The 20,458-nt window shown below is 39.9% G+C and overlaps 1 protein-coding gene across 12 annotated transcripts in view, besides 1 other annotated feature; it reads right to left on the reverse strand.

The window, feature by feature from the left end:
- MARCHF8 (membrane associated ring-CH-type finger 8) overlaps window positions 1-20,458 on the reverse strand; it is a 140,323-nt gene that overhangs the window by 90,453 nt on the left and 29,412 nt on the right. For 3 of the 12 annotated variants that reach the window (NM_001401645.1, XM_047424767.1, XM_047424763.1), the window contains exon 2: window positions 8,075-8,167. The exons of the other annotated variants lie outside the window; for them this stretch is intronic. The gene's annotated coding sequence lies outside the window, so the exon portion shown is untranslated. The remainder of the gene's footprint in view (window positions 1-8,074; window positions 8,168-20,458) is intronic. 12 annotated transcript variants of the gene reach the window in all.
- Window positions 12,397-15,185: an enhancer, noted in NCBI's record as "VISTA enhancer hs2065". NCBI's record gives its function as "enhancer in: blood vessels[9/9]" and the evidence as "EXISTENCE:transgenic organism evidence [ECO:0001131][PMID:17130149]".

Below are 20,458 nucleotides of genomic sequence, written 5' to 3' on the forward strand. Positions count from 1 at the left end.
GGCTAACTAACTCTTCCTCAACCATCTGACCATCCTGACAGAGGAAATTCCACATTCATAGTTCTTTATAGGATCAATGAAGAACCTCTACTTCATTAACAATGTTCACAGAATGTTACATTTATTGAGTTCTTTAATTAATGACTTTCTCCCCTACTCAGCCGTAAGCTCCCCAAAGGCAGCATATCTCATTTTGCTCACCTTTGTATCTCTCTTTCTGTGGCCCAATGCCTATCACATAAGATCTATTAAATAAATGCTGGTTGGATCAATCTCCCTGAGACAGCAGGCAAAAATGGCTGAGAATTTCATTTGTAACTCAAACTATTAAGCAACACTGTTCTCTGTCTCAAATCCTGATCAAGTACCCTAGTGGAGATTTGGAAAAACTAACAAAAATTCATGTTTGTCAACCTGGTACAATTCATTTCAGATGGGAAGAAACCCACTGATCTTTAAATATCTGCAGCAGATTGACCACATCAGACTTAGTTGAAAATTGAAATGGATTTCAAATATAGTGGAATGTAATCTAAGTATCTTTAAGAATAATTTTAGAAGATGACAAGTATAAGTAGTTAAGAATTACTGATCAAAGCATTTTAAGACAGAGGAAAACTTGAGTTTCCTAAGTTACAGATAAGAAATTTCAACCTTTGAGTCAAAAACGCAATGCTGGATAGATAGCAAGTTATGGAAGCTTGCTATCCAACAGCTGAACGAGAGCCCAAATATGCTACTGCACTAGTATCACCTCAAAGCCTTCTTCCCTTCACTCAGCCAGGAAAGAAGGCTCCCCCTGCCACATCACATCTCGCCCTCTGTCTCACTCTCACTTAACCACTGGTTAGCAAGGCTAACCTTAAGCTATAAAGCTATAAAGATTGCCCTGCTCCTGCCTTTTACTGAAACGAAGACCAAAATTAAACTTGAAAGCTCTGAGAAATTTCAGGGAAGATGACAGAGAAACACCACAAGGTCTCCATATGTTACCCACTAAAAAACAGTCTGATGCAAATTTTGTTATTTGGGCTTGGCCTGTTAAAACTATTAGCTTTAAAAACAGCGAGTTCATTTTAAAATATAAAAATGAGCTGAATTTTTATTTATTTATTTATTTATTTATTTATTTATTTATTTTGAGACAGGGTCTCGCTCTGTTGCCCAGGCTGGAGTGCAGTGGTGCAATCTCGGCTCACTGAAACCTCCACCTTCCTGGTTCAAGCGATTGCGCTGCCTCAGCCTCCCGAGTAGCTGGGATTACAGGTGCACGCCACCACTCCTGTCTAATTTTTTTGTATTTTTAGTAGAGACAGGGTTTCACCATGTTGGCCAGAGTGATCTCAAACTCCTGACCTCAGGCAATCCGCCCGCCTTGGCCTTCCAAAGTGCTGAGATTACAGGCGTGAGCCACAGCGCCCGGTCATGAGCTGAAATTTTTTAATGCAACAAGAATAAAGCAGGCCAGGAGTGGTGGCTCACACCTGTAATCCTGGCACTTTAGGAAGCCAAGGCGAGTGGATCACTTAAGCTCCGGAGTTTGAGACCAGCCTGGGCCACATGGTGAGACCCCATCTCTCCTAAAAATATAAAAAAAATTGCTGGGCGTGGTGGTGCATGCCTGTGGTATCAGCTACTTGGTCGACAGATGGGAGGATCACTTGAGCCCAGGGGACAGAGGTTGCAGTGAGCCAAGATTGTACCACTACACTCCAGCCTGGGTGACAGGAGGAGAACCTGTCTCAAAAAAAAAAAAAAAGTTAACTACCAGAAAATATATATGCAATTACCAATAGTGAAGAAATCATAAGACATACAAACATATCCCACAGACTAAAGTTTATCCAGAAACAAAAGACTGAAGTTTGTTAGTTTTTAAATCTCCTAGAGTAATTTAGAGCATTGCCAGTTGCAGTGGCTTGTATCTGTAGTCCCAGCTACTTGGGAGGCTGAGGTGGGAGGACCACTTTAGGCCAGGAGTTCTAGACTGGCCTGGGCAACATAGAAAGACCTTGTCTCCCCACCAAAAAAATTCAGATCATTACTAGAGGTAATAAAGGGTACAATAAATGTTAAATAAAACAATAGTAAATAAGCAATGCTGAAAATAAGTGGAAAATAAAATCCAAAGCATAAATAATTTAAACAGATAAAGTATATGAAGAAACTAAAAAGTATAAAAATACTGCCTGTCAATAATAATGGAGGAAAAAACTAGATGAAAGCATTTGTAAATCTTAAGTATTTTACATGCATATTTCATTTAAATCTCACAGCAGTGCCAGGAGGGAGAGAAACTTTTATCTCCCTTTCATGCATGGCTTAGAGAAATTAATCAACTTGCCCAAGCTTTCACAGCCATATTTCAAGGACTCTCAGCTGCCAGCATTTGCTTGACCTTACAGAAGGTGTCAACAAAAAGTTTTTATGCAACTAGACCATAATTATCCCTGACTAAGCGGGGATTCCAAGGTGCCAATTTCAGAGATGTTAGAATGGATAAAAATGCACAACTTATGCTTGACTAAATGTGATAGTGTGCAGCAACCGATCAGGTGAACCTAAAATATGTAGCGGTTTTTTTGTTTTTTGTTTTTTTAATTTCACAGTGGCACTGCTACGGGAAGGACTAAGATAAAACATAATATGTTCCTGTCTTTGTTGTAGTAAAGAAGAGCTATTATAATCCCTATGGATATAGAAGACAACATGGAATTCACATTTGAAGTATTAAATAGTGACAGGCCTTTTGTTGTCTTTTTTGTCTATAGAGGGACAACTTAACCAAAGCAATGGTTATATCTGCCTAAAATTTGGCAAAGATAATAAATTAGATATTTCAAAAGTGGGTTACTTTAAGGCACTAAGATACCCCTCAAATAGTTAGGTCGAATTCATGGCAGATATTTAACTGTAGCATTTTGAGTTCACTTGCAAATTTGTATCACAAGCCACAGAAAAGAAACACTGCATTTAAAAACTATAGCCCACATCCTTATGTTCTTTCATCTTTATTCTAGTAGAAGATGCAAGGTAATTTTCCAACACATAACCTCAGAGGTTGAAGCCAAGAGCGGCAGAATGGATGGATTCAAGGTGTGCCAACAATGCTACCCAGTAGGAAAAAATTCCATAAAAACTGGGCCCCTAAGGAAAACAACAAAGCCTAATGCTGAAGTCCTGTCCAAATGCAAGTGCTTGGCTAAGAGAGAGCAGTCAGGCTGTAGACTGAAAGGCAGTGTATGCAATTTAGAATCCCCAGAAGTAGAGTAACAGAGAGACACCACAGCTGCATGAGAGTGAGATGCTAATGTGGGGCAGGCAGGACTCGGCTCCAGACAGTGCATGCTATCAGGACACCTTCCATGACTCGGGAAGACCTCAGTACAACCACCGGGGCAGGTACGTGAATTAGGTAAACCAGGTGCAATTAACTGGAAAAAGGGCCTGGACTAATGTCTGGGCTTTCTGAAAGATTTTGCATCTCAGGGAAATTATGGAATAGCCACAGTATTCCCTTGGTAATAGAATGCAAAAATACTGAAAACACTCAAAGTTAAGAAAAGGGAAAAGAGAAGATTTGTTAGGGTTCTTTTAGCATTTCACGTCTGAGAAACAGAACAGGTGTTTTCAACACTTGGAAAACACCTTCAATCCATCAAGCACAGAAATAGTCTGCGTTTGGCCAGGCACGGTGGCTCATGCCTGTAATCTTCGGGAGGCCGAGGCGGTGGATCGCCTGAGGTCAGGAGTTCGTGACCAGCCTGGCCAACATGGTGAAACCCTGTCTCTACTAAAAATGCAGAAATTAGCCGAGAGTAGTGGCAGGCGCCTGTAATCCCAGCTACTCAGGAGGCTGAGGCAAGAGAACTGCTTGAACCTGGGAAGTGGAGGTTGCAGTGACCCAAGATCATGCCATTGCACTCCAGCCTGGGTGACAAGAGCAAGACTCCATCTCAAAAAAAAAAAAAAAGAAAGAAAAGAAATAGTCTACCTTCTTGAGCTCCTACAAGAGCTCTTCAGTGCTTGCCCTGCAGAGAACAGTGTCTGATCCCTATAGATAACGAAAGGGGGATGAAGGAGAGGTCAAGGCTCCAGCAGCCCAGCGTTCTCCCTGGGTATTCAGCACATCATTAGAGAATAAACCTGTTTACTTTGCTGCCTCCTTGAAGGCTCAGTAATGAAGCCATGATTAGAATTGCAGTCATGGATTCCAGCCACTTATCACAAGATGTTCCATTTTCTCTTGCTATGTAACAAACTACCCAAAACTTTGTTGCTTGAACAGCCATGATTTCCTATTTCTCATAATTCCATGGGTTGGCTGGGCAGCTCTTCTGCTGCCCTTACCTGACTTACAAAGGCTGCTTCGCTGGGCTCAGCAGGGAAGGCAGGGCCTTCTCCATGTGGCCTTTTCTTCTAGGCTTCTTCACATGTTGGCAGCAGCATCCCAAGACAGTTCACCCACTACACATGGTGCCTCTGCTTGCACTGTGTCTGCTGATTGAGACCAAAGTCAAGAAGGGGGAAAAGAGACTCTACCACTTGATGGGTCCTGTGGTTTGAATGTGTCCCCCAAGTTCATGTATTGGAAACTTAATCCCCAATGCAACAGTGTTGACAGGTGGGACTTGTAAGACGTGATCAAGCCATGAGGGCTCTGCCCTCACTAATGGATTAATGCTGTTATTGAGGAAGTAGGTTAGTTATCATGGGAGTGGGTTCCTAACAGAAGAATAAGTTCAGCCTCCTTCCCTTCTCTCCATCCCAGGCACATGCTCTCTTGCCCATCTGCCTTCCACCATGGGATGATGCAGCAAGAAAGCCCTCACCAGATGTGAGCCCCTCAACCTTGGACTTCCCAGGCTGCAGAACTGTAAGAACTAAATCTCTGTACTTTATTAATTACCCCATCTCAGGTACTCTGTTACAGCAGCACAACACAGACTAAGACAATGGGAGAAACAAGTGAAGTCATACTGCAAACAGGCAGAGCTGGGAGCGGGGACAGGGGGCAGTGATTCATTAGGAGCCGTTTTGTAACAATTTACCACATGTTGTTTTCGCTGCTTTTTCCTCTGATAATAATAGTTTTTATCAGTAGAGTGTTTTTATAAGGTGTTTTCACACCTATTATAAATTCAAAGCTAATTATGATCTTTATAATACGGGGAAAAAGGTGCTCAACTCTATTTCTACTACAGAATAACATTAATAAAGATCCAAAAATATTCCCAAGGTTTAGATACTTGAATTCCTTCTAGCAATCCATACCGCTTGAAGATCTCACGTTCCTTAACAAACACATGGATCTTGTGAAGCATCTTTAGTAGGCTGACAGAGGAAGAAACTGTGGCCAAAGTTTGTAACAGAAAAATCGAAGGCAATTATACTTCATTTGAAGTGCTTCCTGCAGAAAGAATTCTCAGCATGTCATTGTACAATGCAGCATGTAAGGACAGTGGCACACACTGCTCTGCACCAGTCAGCTGTCATCTCAGGCCAGAACAAGCATATTCTCCACATACTGCAGTAAACCAGAAAAACCAGAGCAGAATTTGCCTCACTACTCACCTTACCCCCTGACCATCCGAGATATGTCTGCCCAGGCAGGACAAATCTTCTCAAGGACCCCTGTACATGCCATGTACAACCTTACCCTTGTTCATTCTGTCCCACCTTCTTGGGATGCTCTTTCCTCTTTGCCCATCAGGCCCAAAATTCCCTGGCCTTCAGACCACACCTCAAAGCATTTCTTCTCTACAAGCAAAACATGTTCCCCTTTCCCTTCTTTACAACCCATAGCAGTTACCCAATTTCTTTACAGGTGGACATTAGTCACATTAAAAACAGTCCTTCAATATAAGTGATGGTTAATTTCACATGTCAACTTGACTAGGCCACAATATGCAGATATTTGGTCAAACATTATTCTGAATGTTTCTGTGAAGGTATTTTTAAGATAAGACTGACATTTAAATTGGCAGACTTTTTTTTAAGGCAAGACCGGATTTATTCCCATTTTATAGACGAGGAAACACTCAGAGAGGTCAAGTGATCCACCTGCTCTAGGTCAATACATGACTCAGCTGAAACTTCCTCTCCTAGATATACAATGAGAGTAATGCCAGACCTGCTTCTCAAAACAGATATGCACAAGAAAACTGTTTTAGTCTCATTCTTCTGACAACTAGAAAGTAAATATTCACCAGGCCCTCCCTGTGCACATAACATTATCATAAGTCAGAAGTCTGTCATTAAGAACATAAAATCACAGTGCAGATTGGGAGTGGGAAGATACACAGAAAGGATACCAAGAGTTTCTGTCAACTGCCCCTGGTTTGAGTTCAACATTTTTTTTAGAGATGCAATTTTTTTTTTTAGGAGATGGGGTTTCACTATGTTGCCTAGGCTGGACTTAACTCCTAGGCTCAAGTGATCCTCTTGCCTCAGCCTCCCAAGTATCTGGGACTATAGGTGCCTGTCACCACACCCAGCTTCTAAATTGGTGGATTCTGAGTAAAATATCCTGCTTTCCATAATGTGCGTGGGCCTCAACCAATCAGTTGAAGGCCTTAATATAAAAATGACTGACCTCCCCTAGAAGAAGAGGGAATTCTGCCAGCAGACTGCCTTCAGCCTTGAACTCCAGAATCAACTCTTCCCTGAGCCTCCAGCCTGCCAGCCCACCCTACAGATTTTGGACTTGTTAGTCTCCACAATCATATGAACCAATTCCTTAAAATAAATCTCTCTCTCCCAATCTCATCTAGCTATCTATCTATATATATAGGTATATCTGTACACACACACACACACACACACACAGACACACACACCCTATTGGTTTTGTTTCTTTGCAGAACTCTGACTGATACAATATATCACATAGTTTAGATCATTCCTTGCAGGGTACAAAGCCTGGCCTACTTAAAAGGCTATATGATCCCTGGAGTGTTGCATATTTTTTGGCAATTCCTACAGTCTTCTGTACCATCATGTTTCTTTAGTATTCCCTACGGTGTTCCATACAGAGCAGGGGTAAAAATATTCCAGGAACTTGAATTTGTGCTTCCTTATGACTAAACTTTGTATCCTTCCAGTTTCCTAACCTTTCTGCACCATTGACTGTGATATGTATACATACTAAAGAAGGTGAAAGAAAGAAAAGGAATACTGCTCCCATTTTCCCATGGTGAAATCCCAAAGGTGGTTAATGTCTATTAAAAACTAGTAGTTTTATTACTAACTGGCACACAGGTGGTAGAATTTAAAAAAAAAAAAAAACACTATAAACTATTATTTGCTTTATGATCCTGGAATCCATTCTTTTCAATTTTCTCCACCTAGAAAACATCTTTTAGTGAAAAAACTATAATAAAAGCAAAAAAATGTTTTAGTCAATCATCAAAATAATAACCCAAGACCAAATTTAAAGTAATATAAACGTAAATCAGGAATAGTTTTTAAAGTCAGCTATCACGTCTTAGAGATTTTTAGTTTATTTTAAATCCCTTTGGGAAGACCTAGAATATTTCATTCATTTAACCTAAGCAAACAAATGGACAAGGACGTATTCTCATAGTCTGACCCAATTTTCCGAGCATCTTCCAAGTGCCAGGCTCCTACTAGGAACTGGAAAATTTTAGAAGTGAACTGGTGCTATCATTCGTCCCTAAAATAGATTAGTGAATGCCCAGAAAATAAAGAATGCTCACATTTAAGCTACTCTCTAACAATGTGCATATTTCTGCTACTACCAGTTGAATTGTGCACATTATCAAAAACCTATTGTTTCATCTCCAAACCTGTTTATGTCAGTTGTACTCATTCTGCAATGGTATAATTTAATTGAATACTATATAAACTGATCACAAATGGACAAACATGTGGCTACAAAAGTAAGAAGTTACTATTTCTATAAAACCTATGTTGAATACTTTGGAAAGCATCCATACAGGCATATTACTTTCCTTAAAATTTTTTGACAAATTGAGTATATATAAAACAACTATAAAAGACTAGAAAACAACACTAAAATACCAGAATCCTGGCTAGGTGCAATGGCTCATACCTGTAATCCCAGTACTTTGGGAAGCTGAGGCAGAAGGATCACTTGAGGCCAGGAGTTTGAGACCAGTCTGGGCAACACAGCAAGACCCCATCTCTACAAAAAAAATTTACATTTAAAAAAAAAGATAGAATTCTATGCTCTGACTGCTTCAGATGTTCCTAAAGTCTCAATCTACTTTAAACAGAGTGAAACTAGAAAACACAGAAGCTACTCTATAAATGTGGTTTTTACAAGAACAATAATACAGAACTGAGAGGACCCATAATACTCAAAGAAAGATTACTACCCTAGATCACAAGACTGGCCTTTTGCATCCTCCACTATTCCCAGAACAATCCATCAGTAGCAGTAACATTACGCTTGAATACTTCCTGAAGTCAAGTTGTTTTATTTAAAACTGAAATATCCCTCTAAAAGACAACAACAACAACAAAAAATAAGTATGTATATACAAGGTATTCACTGCAGCACTATTTCTAACAGCAAGACACTAAAGACAATCCAAATGTCCATTAATATGGGACTGACAATAAACTGGTAAATTCACACAATGAAATAGACAAAAAGGCATGACAAATGTCTCTATATACTTCTATGGAGTGATCAGCAGGAAAAATAGGAAGACAAAAAAGCAAGAAGAAAATTATACATAGTGTGCTACCATTCACCTAAGACGGGATTAGGAGGCAGAAACTATACGTGTGTGCACATGCATGGACATGCACACACACACACACACACTCTTGCTCATGTTTTAAATGGAATGCAGGAAAAAAAATAGAGGGAACCACAATCAGAGATGGATTTCTCTGATTCTGCCTTGTTTTACACATTTAGCTCTGGAACCATGTATATGTTTTCCATAATTGTTTAAAAAATAATTGAAAAACTGTCATCTCTAAAATTCAAAAGCAAAATGAAATGACCCTAAATATTTGTTGAATTGGTGGTATAATCATGCAAAAAGGAATTATTTCAAATGATTTAAAACAGTTTTACCAGACATCCCTATAGGAATCTATCCTAAAAATGAAAAGAATTTGGGAAAGTGCTTTTAATTCTTAAACTATTTTCAGTAATCATATTGTTAGCAGTAACACTGACAAGTAATGGTATCAATATGATTATGATCAAGAACCAAAATTTTTAGCATGAGACAAAGATAAAATTAAAGAAATTCAACAAAATCATCTGTTCCTAAGTTTATAATGGAAAAATCAGTATGAAACTCATAAAATATTTTACCTTAAAAATAACGTATTTCCTAGCCCCATTCACTGAAAAGGCCTAGAAGTAACAACCAATCTGTAGTTTCCAGACTGTGGTCACTAAATACAATTTCCCTCTGAAAGGAACCAGGGCTGGTTAAAGAAAGGGATAATTCCAGATCTATGGCTGTTAATGTACAAGATGAGCCTGGACATCTTGTCACACAAGAAAGCAAGAAGCCATCAGAAGCACCCATGCCAAAATGACCCAGGAGCTAATGTGAAGGCACTCCCATTGGCCAAAGAAGAGACAATGTGGACCAGGTGCAGTGGCTCATGCCTGTAATCTTAGCTCTTTGGGAGACTGAGGCAGGGGGATCACCGGAGGTCGGGAATTCGAGACCAGCCTGACCAAAATGGAGAATCCCATCTCTAGTAAAAATATAAAATTAGGGCCGGGCGTGGTTGCCCACACCTGTAATCCCAGTACTTTGGAAGGCCAAGACTAGCGGATTGCCTGAGGTCAAGCGTTCAAGACCAGCCTGGCCGATGTGATAAAACCCCGTCTCTACTAAAAATACAAAAATTAGCCAGGCGTAGTGGTGCGCACCTGTTGTCCCAGCTACTTGGGAGGCTGAGGCAGAAGAATTGCTTGAACCCGGAGGCAGAGGCTGAAGTGAGCTGAGATTGCGCCACTGCATTCCAGCCTGGGCGACAGAGTGAGACTCTGTCTCCAAAAATAAAAATAAGAAATAAAACATTAGCCGGGCGTAGTGGTGCATGCCTGTAATCACAGCTACTCAGGAGGCCAAGGGAAGAGAATCGCTTGAACCTAGAAGGTAGAGGTTGCAGTGAGCTGAGATCATGCCATTGCACTCCAGCCTGGGCAACAAAAGCAACACTCTTGTCTCAAGAAAAAAAGAAGGGACAATTTGATCATTAATAAGAATAACTGTGGCTGGGTAAACTGGTTTGTGCCTTATAGTCCCAGCTACCTGGGAGGGTAAGGAGAGAGGATCACTTGAGACCAGCCTGGGCAACATAGTGAGATCTATCATTAATTAATGTAATTAACTCATTAAAGAATAACTGCAATGAACTTAAGAAATCATCAAACATATTAAATTCACATGCTGGCTGGGCGTGATGGCTCACACCTGTAATCTCAGTACTTTGTGAGGCCGAGGTAGGAAAATCTCTTGAGGGCCAAGAGTTCAAGACCAGCCTGGGCAACACAGTGAGATCCCATCTCTCCAAAAACGATTTCTTTTTTAATTAGCTGTGTTTGGTGGTGCATGCCTGTGGTCCCAGCTACTTGGGAGGCTGAGGCAGGAGGATCGCTTGAGCCCAGGAGGTTGAGGCTGCAATGAGCCATGATTACACCACTGCACTCCAGCCTGAGCGACATTGTAAGACCCTGTCTCAAAAAAAAAAAAAAAGAAAAAGAAAAAGAAAAGAGTATGTGTTTATAATGATACTTTTTAAATAAAGGAAAAAGCACTGGCCATTTTTGGAAATGCTAGGGACCCTCCAAGAGTTGTAAGTAAAGAGAAAGAGTCACTCATTTAACCTGACTTCCCTGTATAAGCTATACCTCTGGGTAACTGAACAGTCTGTAAAAAGAGTCTTCTCTGTACTAGTATTCCAGCGAATAAATGAAAAAGGAATGATGAAATTAGAATTGCAACATCTTGCATGCCCATGATTAAGTAATGGATCTATGTGAAGAATAAGTGGTCACTACTGTTTCAAAGCAAAAAAATCATTTCGCAAAATTCATATATAATAGTATGAGCAAGTGCACAAGATAAACGGCATGATTTTTTCAGTAAATAACATTTCAATAAGACAGAAAATAAGGAAAACCTATAGCTTAAAAGATATTGAAGAAAACCTATCAACCGAATGTAATGTGTAGACCTTGTTTACATCCTGATGCAAACAAATCACAGTACACACAAACACACACACAAAACTGTGAAATAACTTTGGGATGATAGTGGTATTGTGTGATTCATTCTAAGAAAAACAGCCCTTATCTTTCAGTGAAAGTACTAAAATATTTACAGATAAAATGAAAAGAACAAGAATGTACCCCCAAAAATGGACTGGGAGAGGGATATAAAGAAACAAAAGACGCTATGAGTGGATGCCAGCTAGAGCCAGGCACAAGGCGGTTCACGGTATTCTTCCTTTACTTCTGTGTATGTTTTAAATTCTCCATAATAAAAGTTTTGAAACTTTGATGTATGACTGTATGTCTGTATGCTTTAATAATAAAATGTTAATGGCATATAAAATTTTTCAGGATTTCCTGCTTTATGTTAAAACGGCTTCTCCGGTTCTTTCCACAAAAGAGGCATCTGGGGGTCAAGTCCCTTATTTCTCTGAATTATCAACTTAAAGCATAGGGCCTGCTACCCAGGAAGTGCTCAATAAATGTTAAATGAACGAATTCTGTTTGCTATACTTCTCTGCTCTGCTAAACCTTCCAAAACCCTAATCTAGTGATCCAACTTGTAGTAAAGGATGAGTAAATAGAATCAAGTATTAAAAAGACAAAAAATCCAAAACCCTGTATGTACTTAACCTTTTAAGTCTATGTTCCATAAAAAAATGGTTGTTTTTTTCTTGTGGTAAAAAACACAAAACATAAAATTTATCAAATTAACTATCTGTAAGTGTACAGCATTCAACAGTGTTAAGCATATTCACATGGTTGTGAAACAGATATCCAGAATTTTTTCATCTTGCAAAACTGAAACTATACCCATTGAACAACAAAAGGTGCCTATTCTTTTTTTTTTTTTTTTTTTTTTTTTTTGAGACGGGAGTTTCGCTCTTGTTGCCTGGACTGGAGTGCAATGGAACAATCTCGGCTCACTGCAACCTCCGCCTCCCTGGGTCAAGCGATTCTCCTTGCTTCAGCCTCCCGAGTAGCTGAGATTACAGGTGTGCGCCATCACGCCTGGCTAACTTTTCTATTTTTAGTAGAGACGGGGTTTTGCCACGTTGGCCAGGCTGGTCTTGAACTCCTGACCTCAGGTGATCCACCTGCCTCAGCCTCCCAATGTGCTGGGATTACAGACGTGAGACACCACGCCTGGCCCAAAAGGTGCTTATTCTTAATACTTCCTACCCATTGTCTATTCTATCCTACACAGACCTCTAGCTACCACAGCTTTCAAAGTATTATTTTCTGACAATATACATTGTGGATCACCAGCACAATAACATCAAATAGAAAACAACCAGTCCTTAAAGAAAATAGGAAGGGTCTTAAGTCTGACTGTGAACAGAAGACCATACGACCTCCTGTGCAGAGGAAATGAAGATAGGGCTGGAATGTGGTTTCAGGGTCACTCTAAACGGAAGTGAGGAACCAAAACAGGAAGAGGCAGGCCCACAGCTAAGAGGAGGCCACACGGGCTGCAGAAGGACTCATTCCATGTCTGCATTTAACAAAGGCTTACCACTGCTTAGGCAGCCCCATAACAATGATGGAAAGGCCCCTGGTAAGCACACAGACTCACAGGTGCCTTAGGTCAGGTACCTGGGGAAGCACTATGCAAGTCTCATTCAACAGACTTTTAGTTAAATATGCTTATGCAGGCCTGCAAAAAAAATGACTTAGCTATAAATTTGGTAATAATAACTTAGTATATTATGTAAGAAATGTCAATGATCAGTATCAGTGACCAGTGATCACTGATATTTTTCCATGTGTTACTATAGTTCTAATTATCTTTGGTAATAGATGAACGCTTAGTCAATCACTCCTTTTTCAAAATCATTTTCATACATTATTCTTCAGAAGCATGACTCCTAGCCTGAGTCTGCACTGGGACAACTCCAGGAAAGATAGAGATTTTGTACATGACTGAGGATAATAGCAGAGTCAAGGCAGACAAGGACCTGTTTACCAAAAGCACCTAGAAATCTCCAGGGGGCAGGGATCTTGGGGAACGGACATTCATTCTACAGCAAGAGTTCAGGTTAATCCAAAGAAAGCCACAGACCATGAGAAGAGAGTAGTGGCTTGGAGGACAACATGGTATCTGTCATTCACACTATCCTACATAAAAGCAAGGGATGATAGTGGTATTGTGTGATTTGTTCTAAGAAGAACAATCAAATTAAAGGCATTCTCAAAAGGCTCTGAAGAACAGTAACACTTCAAGGAATCAGCAGCACGGAAAGCAGCAGCTGTTGCCACAGGACTGACAGCAGCGTGGGTAACAAGGAACATCCTGATGGCCACAGCCATGACAGTTGACCTATCAACCAAACGATCTTTGCACTGACAACAGTGGCTGCACTTCTGGTGCCAGGCGCACGGTGGTGGCTCTCAGTTCTGCCTCCAGCACTAGCAGGCTGTGTGTACATACAAACATACATATGTGTATGTATGTATAACACCCAGCTACTGACAGTGAGACCGGAGAGCATGCGGGGAGAAAATGGGAGCAGAGGTACAAAGGATCTTTCACCTCTTCAATATTAACTGTTTTATAATTATGTAGTACCACAAATAAAACTTCTATTTTGAATAAATAGAACAGAACACATTGAGGCCTAAAGGGAAGAAATATGTAGTAAAATCAGAAAAAAGAATTTATAATAAAGTCCCACTTGTGCTTTGACAATTCTTGCCTTTTAAACCAAGTAATATTCCAAGTAAATACATCTTTAAAGAAAGAAAAGGTATAGTTTAAGATGTAGTAATTTATGGCAATTTCAATTATTCAGGAGGAATATGTATTTTAGGAAAGGAATGAATAACTTTAGCCCTGTCATCATCTGGAAATTAGAAGTTGGTAAACATACCGTAAATCTAACCTGCCTGTATGCTTTTCACCTTACGGCTCTGGGTAAGAATGAATGCCATAACATATGTGAAAATCACTTGCAAACTATACGGTGGTATGTACATAGATGATAGTTAAGTTTCTACCATCACAAATGTGCTATAATTTTTTTATCTGACTTTATATTACAGAACACAGTATAATGAATTTTTAAGAAATACAATGGTCCCTAAGGCTACTTCCTTCTTTTTTGAGACGGAGTCTCACTCTGTTGCCCAGGCTGGAGGGCAGTGGCACAATCTCGGCTCACTGCAACCTCTGCCTCCCAGGTTCAAGCAATTCTCCTGCCTCAGCCTCAGCTGAGATTACGGGCATGCGCCACCACGCCCAGCTAATGTTTGTATTTTTTAGTAGAGACGGGATTTCATTGGCCATTTCTTATATTACTAATTCATACACATAAGAATTTGTTTTCATTTAATTGAAGATGCTCTTATGTATACTGATATTTAAATAAACATGAACATTAAATCTTTGAGATTAAAACCTGTATAAATATAACTGGAAACCTGCAATTCCTTCTTGGCTAGAAACCCATAAAAAAAATTCCAAGTGTGCATTAGACTCACAATAGTTTTCATACAAGTATGAATGGCATAAAAATTTTTAATTCACCAAATATATTTCTGCAACTGGGTCATTCATTTTCTAAGTTAGAGGCCTTTTATTTTTATATCCTTTGTGGCTTCAAAAAGAATTTTAAATACCTTGTAAGTATACACACTAAGTATACATCACGGCACCCTTCCAAGGGAGCGGGCCTCGGCAGTGAGATTTGAACACAGAATCCTTCCTCCCCGCAACACACAGACAGGCAGCTGCTCCAAGGACAGCCAATCTGCTGGCTGGGAAGAGGCTAATTAGGTAAGCTGGCAAATTAGGCACTAAAAGGGAGGTGAGGCTGAAAGAATATATAAAGGAAGATCCTCAAAGATTCACAAGCAAAGATGAGGTGAGAGGGAGCTGAGAACCAGAAAAACGAGATATGAAATAGAGAAAAGATAATGTTGTAGATGAGGAAGCCTTCTGGCTGTAGGAGATCCATCAGGGTGGTAGGAACAATTGCAGAACGATGCAAACCTTCTTGGAAGGCCAAGAGGTTTTATAAAAGCTTTGGAAAACGATTTGGCTGAAGGCAGCTAGACTCTCTTATCTGGTGCCTGAAAGCTTAGGTTAGATAACAAGGGGATGTAAAAAAACTGATCTAGATAAGTTAGTTTACTTAGGCCTCCGAACCTGGCCTTTCATCATCCGCACACAGGACTGCTCACTCCGGGGAGGGCGACCATGTTGATTACCCACAAGTGTGTTGACTCAAAGCCATTGTCATTAAATCCGTGCTGAATAAATGCCCACAGTGCCAGCTTGTCAAGGCCGCAGCTGCTGACTCTTTACAGCACCCTCCTCGGGGTCTGTGAGCAGCCCGGTCCCCTAGCCCGCTCCCCTAGCTCACTGTTTCATTGGATACCTGCATGTGAGTGCATTTTTTCTCCTGTCGTTCAGCCAGGGTCTGCGGGTCGGACCCCACATCTGTCCTCGTGGGAAGAGTGTAGCAGACATGAAGAGAACAGCAGAAATGCAATAAGCAGTAAGTGTAGCTGCTCCCTAGAACTGTGTTGGATCCTGAAAGCCATTCAGCTCCAGTTTCCTTGTGATCTGAAAATAAACACTTTATTCTTAAAGAACACTGATGTGAGTTTCTGTTCCTTAAAATCAAAAAAGCCTCGTATAAGATACATACAAGGATAAGATATGTTTAAACATGCAAGGGAAATAAGGCAAAGAGAGAAAGGAGTACAAAAAAGGTAACAGTCCTTTCCCAGTTCTTTATGATAAAACTATGTCATCTCTATACACAGGAAAAGAATTTCAGTTCTCTATGATGGCAGGGCACCTGTCTAGTGCATTCAAATATGGTAATAATGAAATCTGTCAAAAAGGGAATAAAAATAAATCTGGAAAAATAAGCTCACAATAAAAAAATTACTATATACATAGAGAAGTAAATATGAGTGAGAGCAAGCAGAAAGAACAAACATCAGATACTGCCTTCACTATCATTTCAGATAATGTAATTATGAAACAGAATTTTTTTTTTTTTTTTTGAGACAGACTCTCCATCTGTCACCCAGGCTGGAGTGCAGTGGCATGATCTCGGCTCACTGCAACCTCCATCTCCTGAGCTCAAGCAATTCTTCTGCCTGAGCCTCCCAAGTAGCTGGGATTACAGGCGTGTGCCACCACATCCGGCTAATTTTTGTATTTTTAGTGGAGACGGGGTTTCACCATGTTGGCCAGGCTGGTCTTGAACTCCTGACCTCAGTAATCTGCCCACCTCAGCCTCCCAAAGTGCTGGCATTACAGGCGTGAGCCACCACGCCCAGCCGAAACAGATTATTAAATAGCGAATTATGTAAATAAAGAAATTTTAGGCCAGGCGTGGTGGCTCAAGTCTGTAATCCCAGCACTTTGGGAGGCTGAGGCGGGCAGATCACAAGGTCAGGAGATCGAGACCATCCTGGCTAACACGGTGAAACCCTGTCTCTACTAAAAAATACAAAAAATTAGCAGGGCGTGGTGGCAGGTGCCTGTAGTTCCAGCTACTCAGGAGGCTGAGGCAAGAGAATGGCGTGAACCCAGGAAGCAGAGCTTGCAGTGAGCCAAGATGGAGCCTCTGCACTCCAGCCTGGGCAACGGAGCAAGACTCCGTCTCAAAAAAAAAAAAAAAAAAAAAGAAATTTTAAAATGAGCAAACAACAAAGTACTAAAAACAGCCAGTTTCAAACAATAAAACATTGCTTTCACAAATTAAAAATCTAAGTATTAAAATGAAAACCAAATGAGTTAATTAAATAGCATATTAGTCACAGCTAAGGAGAGATTACCAAACTACATGCCAAATTGGAATAAATTACTCAGAGTTAGGGAAATGAAAAACACTAAAGAGATTAAGGGACATAAAGAATAGACTGAGATGGACTCACACATGACTAATTTAAGTCCTAGTGGGAAACAATACAGAGAATAGAAGAGAAGCAATACATGAAGAGGTTAAGGGCTGAGAATTTTCAAAAACAGATAAAAGACTTAAATCTAGATTTAAGAAGCACAACATACACCTACCAATATAAACAAAAAGAAATCCACCCCTAGACTCACAGGCATTGTGGTAAATCGCAAAATAAAGCCAAAGAAAAGATTTTAAAACACAGAGAGTAAAGACAGAAGACAGACTACTACAATTAGCTCAGACTATAGAATTCTCACCAGTAACAAGCCAGCAGACAGTAGAATATTATCTTCGAAGTATCAAGGAAACTTGTCAACTGTCATCATATGCACAACAAAACTATCCTTCAAGAACAAAGATGAAATCAAGATATTCCCAGCTAAAGTAACAGAGTTTATGACCAGCAGATGATCACTAAAGAAACCTCGTCCTTAGATAAGCTTATTTTTTTTAAAAAAAAGAAACTTCAAAAGAATATACTGTAGCAAAACAGAAAATGAGCTCAGAATAGAGATCTGAGATGTCAGATGAAATGACATTCAAGTATTAAACACGCAAGTATGTGTCAGCAAACATTCCCCATGCTAAAAATAATAATAATTAGCAACAGGATTTAAACAACAGTGAGAAAATAAAAATCTCAAAAATCAGTGTTTAAGGTAAGGGCATGAGGAAGGGGAGGTCATTAAAGTACAGTTGACCCTTTGAATAGTACGGGTTTCCACTGTGCAGGTTGACTTATATGTGGGTTTTTTTTTTTTAAACCAAACATAGATGAGGGATGCAAAACCCACATATATACAGTCTCTCTCCCTCCCTCCCTTCCTCTCTCCTTCCCCTCCCTTCCAAGACAGAGTCTCACTCTGTCACCCAGGCTGGAGTGCAGTGGCACCATCATAGCTCACTGCAGCCTCCAACTCCTGGGCTCAAGTGATCCTACTGCCTCAGCTTTCGGGGTAGCTGGGACTACAGGCCTGCACCACCATACCTGGGTAATTTTTTTATTTTTTGTAGAGACACTGTCTCACTTTGTTGTCCAGGCTGGTCTCAAGCTCCTGGCCTCAAGCAATCCTCCTGCCTCGGCCTCCCAAAGTGCTGGAATTACAGCCGTGAGCCACTGCGCCCAGCCCCGATTTTTCTTAAAGACAGGTTCTGCTGGGTCAACAGCATGATATGAGTATATGCAGGCTGTAGTATACGCAAGGGTTCTGGAACCAATCCTCTGTATATATGAGAGATGATAAAGTCTTTGTCTTAGCAGGCAATTAAGATATTGATAAGGTTCATTCAGCTTTGTTAACGTAAGTCTATGATAATATCTCAAGAATAAACCACAAAAATACTTCCAAACCAATTCAGAGGAAAAATACCATAAGAAAAAAATCAAGTGAAAAAACCTTAATTGTATTTTTAAAAGGAACAAAAAAGAAAAGAGCACGGAAAGTGTCAACAGAAAGCAAAAAGTAAAATGGCAAATATTCATTACAAATATATCAATAACCATAATCTATGTAAATGAATTAAACTTGCCAATTAAAAGACAAATAAGATTATTTTATAAAACATAAATTAATTTCAGTTACATATTATTTACATAAGACATACCCAATGAATAGCACAAAAAGTTTAAAGTGAGGACTAAAAAGGTTAAGTAAGCACCAGTCAAAAGTTAACAAGAATTACCATATCAGAATAAGGCTTATTTCAGCTATTACCCACCAAAAGTAAGAGAAAGTTGACAACACATGGTCTTATTGAGCAAACAGGTAGGAAATCTCAGCAAAGAAATAAAAAGTGGCTAGGCGTGGTGTCTCACGCCTGTAATCCCAGCACTTTGGGAGGCCGTGGCAGGTGGATCACCTGAGGTCAGGAGTTCGAAACCAGCCTGGCCAACATGGTGAAACACTGTCTCTACTAAAAATACAAAAATCAGCCAGATGTGGTGGCAGGCACCTGTAATCCCAACTACTCAGGAGGCTGAGGCAGGAGAATCGCTTGAACCTGGGAAGCGGAAGCTGCAGTGAGCAGATTGTGCCACTGCACTCCAGCCTGGGCAACAGAGTGAGACTCCGTCTCAAAAAATATAAATAAGAAGTATAAAACAGAACCAAATAGAAATTCAAAAACAGAAAAGACTGAAAATTAAAACAAAAAATGCACTTTATGATCTTAACAGTAGACTGAATATGACACAGTCACTGAACTGGAAAACAAACCAATAGGAATTACCCACACTGAAAAACAGAAAAAAAGACTGGAGAAAAATGAACAAACTCTCACAAACTTCTGAGATAATATCAATCATTATGACATGTACATAATCAGAAATGCAGGTGGAGGGGAAGAAAGTGAAACTGGACCAGAGAAAATAATTGAAGATGCAATAACCAAAAACTTCCCAAATTTAGCAAAAAATACTGACTTATAAATCCAAAAGACTCAGAGAACACTAAGTAGGATTAATACAAATAGAAATACAACTGAGCACACTGTAGATAAACTGCTGAAAACCAAAAGGAGAAAAATATTGACAGTAACTAAGAATAAACAACAACAACGACGACAATAACAGTAATATGACGGCCAGCTGATTTTTTTTTTAATCAGAAAAAGAAGCCAGGAAGTAATGCAACAACATCTATAATGCTCAAAGAGAACTATCAGCCCAGAACTCCACATGCAGCAAAAACATCCTTCAACAGTGAAGACAAAATAAAGACATGGTCTGATAAACAAAAACTAAGGAAATTAATCCCCAGCAAATAACATATAAAAACTAGGATCCACTAAAAAAAAAAAAAAAAAAAATACTGGAAGTGTTAAATGTGTGGATAAATATAAAGAACTATTTTTCAATTTATTCTCTTAATTTCTTTAGAAGACACACGCTGGCTGTTGAAAGCAATAACAACACTGTATCATGGGGCTTATAACATAGGTGTACATAAAATACATGACAGTAGGCTGTCATCTCTGTAATCCCAGCACTTTAGGAGGCCAAGGGGGGTGAATCACTTGAGCCCAGGAGTTCAAGACCAGCCTGGGCAACATGGTGAAATCCCAACTCTACAAAAAGTACAAAAATTAACCGGGCCTAGTGGTGCATGCCTGTAGTCCCAGCTACTTAGGAAACTGAGATAGGAGGATCGCTTGAACCCAGGAGGCAGAGGATACAGTGTGCCAAGATTGTGACTGCACTCCAGCCTGGGCGAGAGAGTAAGACCCTGCATCATAAAAATAAAAATAAATATAAACATATATGACAACAATAGCACAATGACTGGGTAGGGAATGGAAC

This window comes from Homo sapiens, chromosome 10 (genome assembly GCF_000001405.40).
Source record: "Homo sapiens chromosome 10, GRCh38.p14 Primary Assembly".
Lineage (NCBI taxonomy): Eukaryota > Metazoa > Chordata > Mammalia > Primates > Hominidae > Homo > Homo sapiens.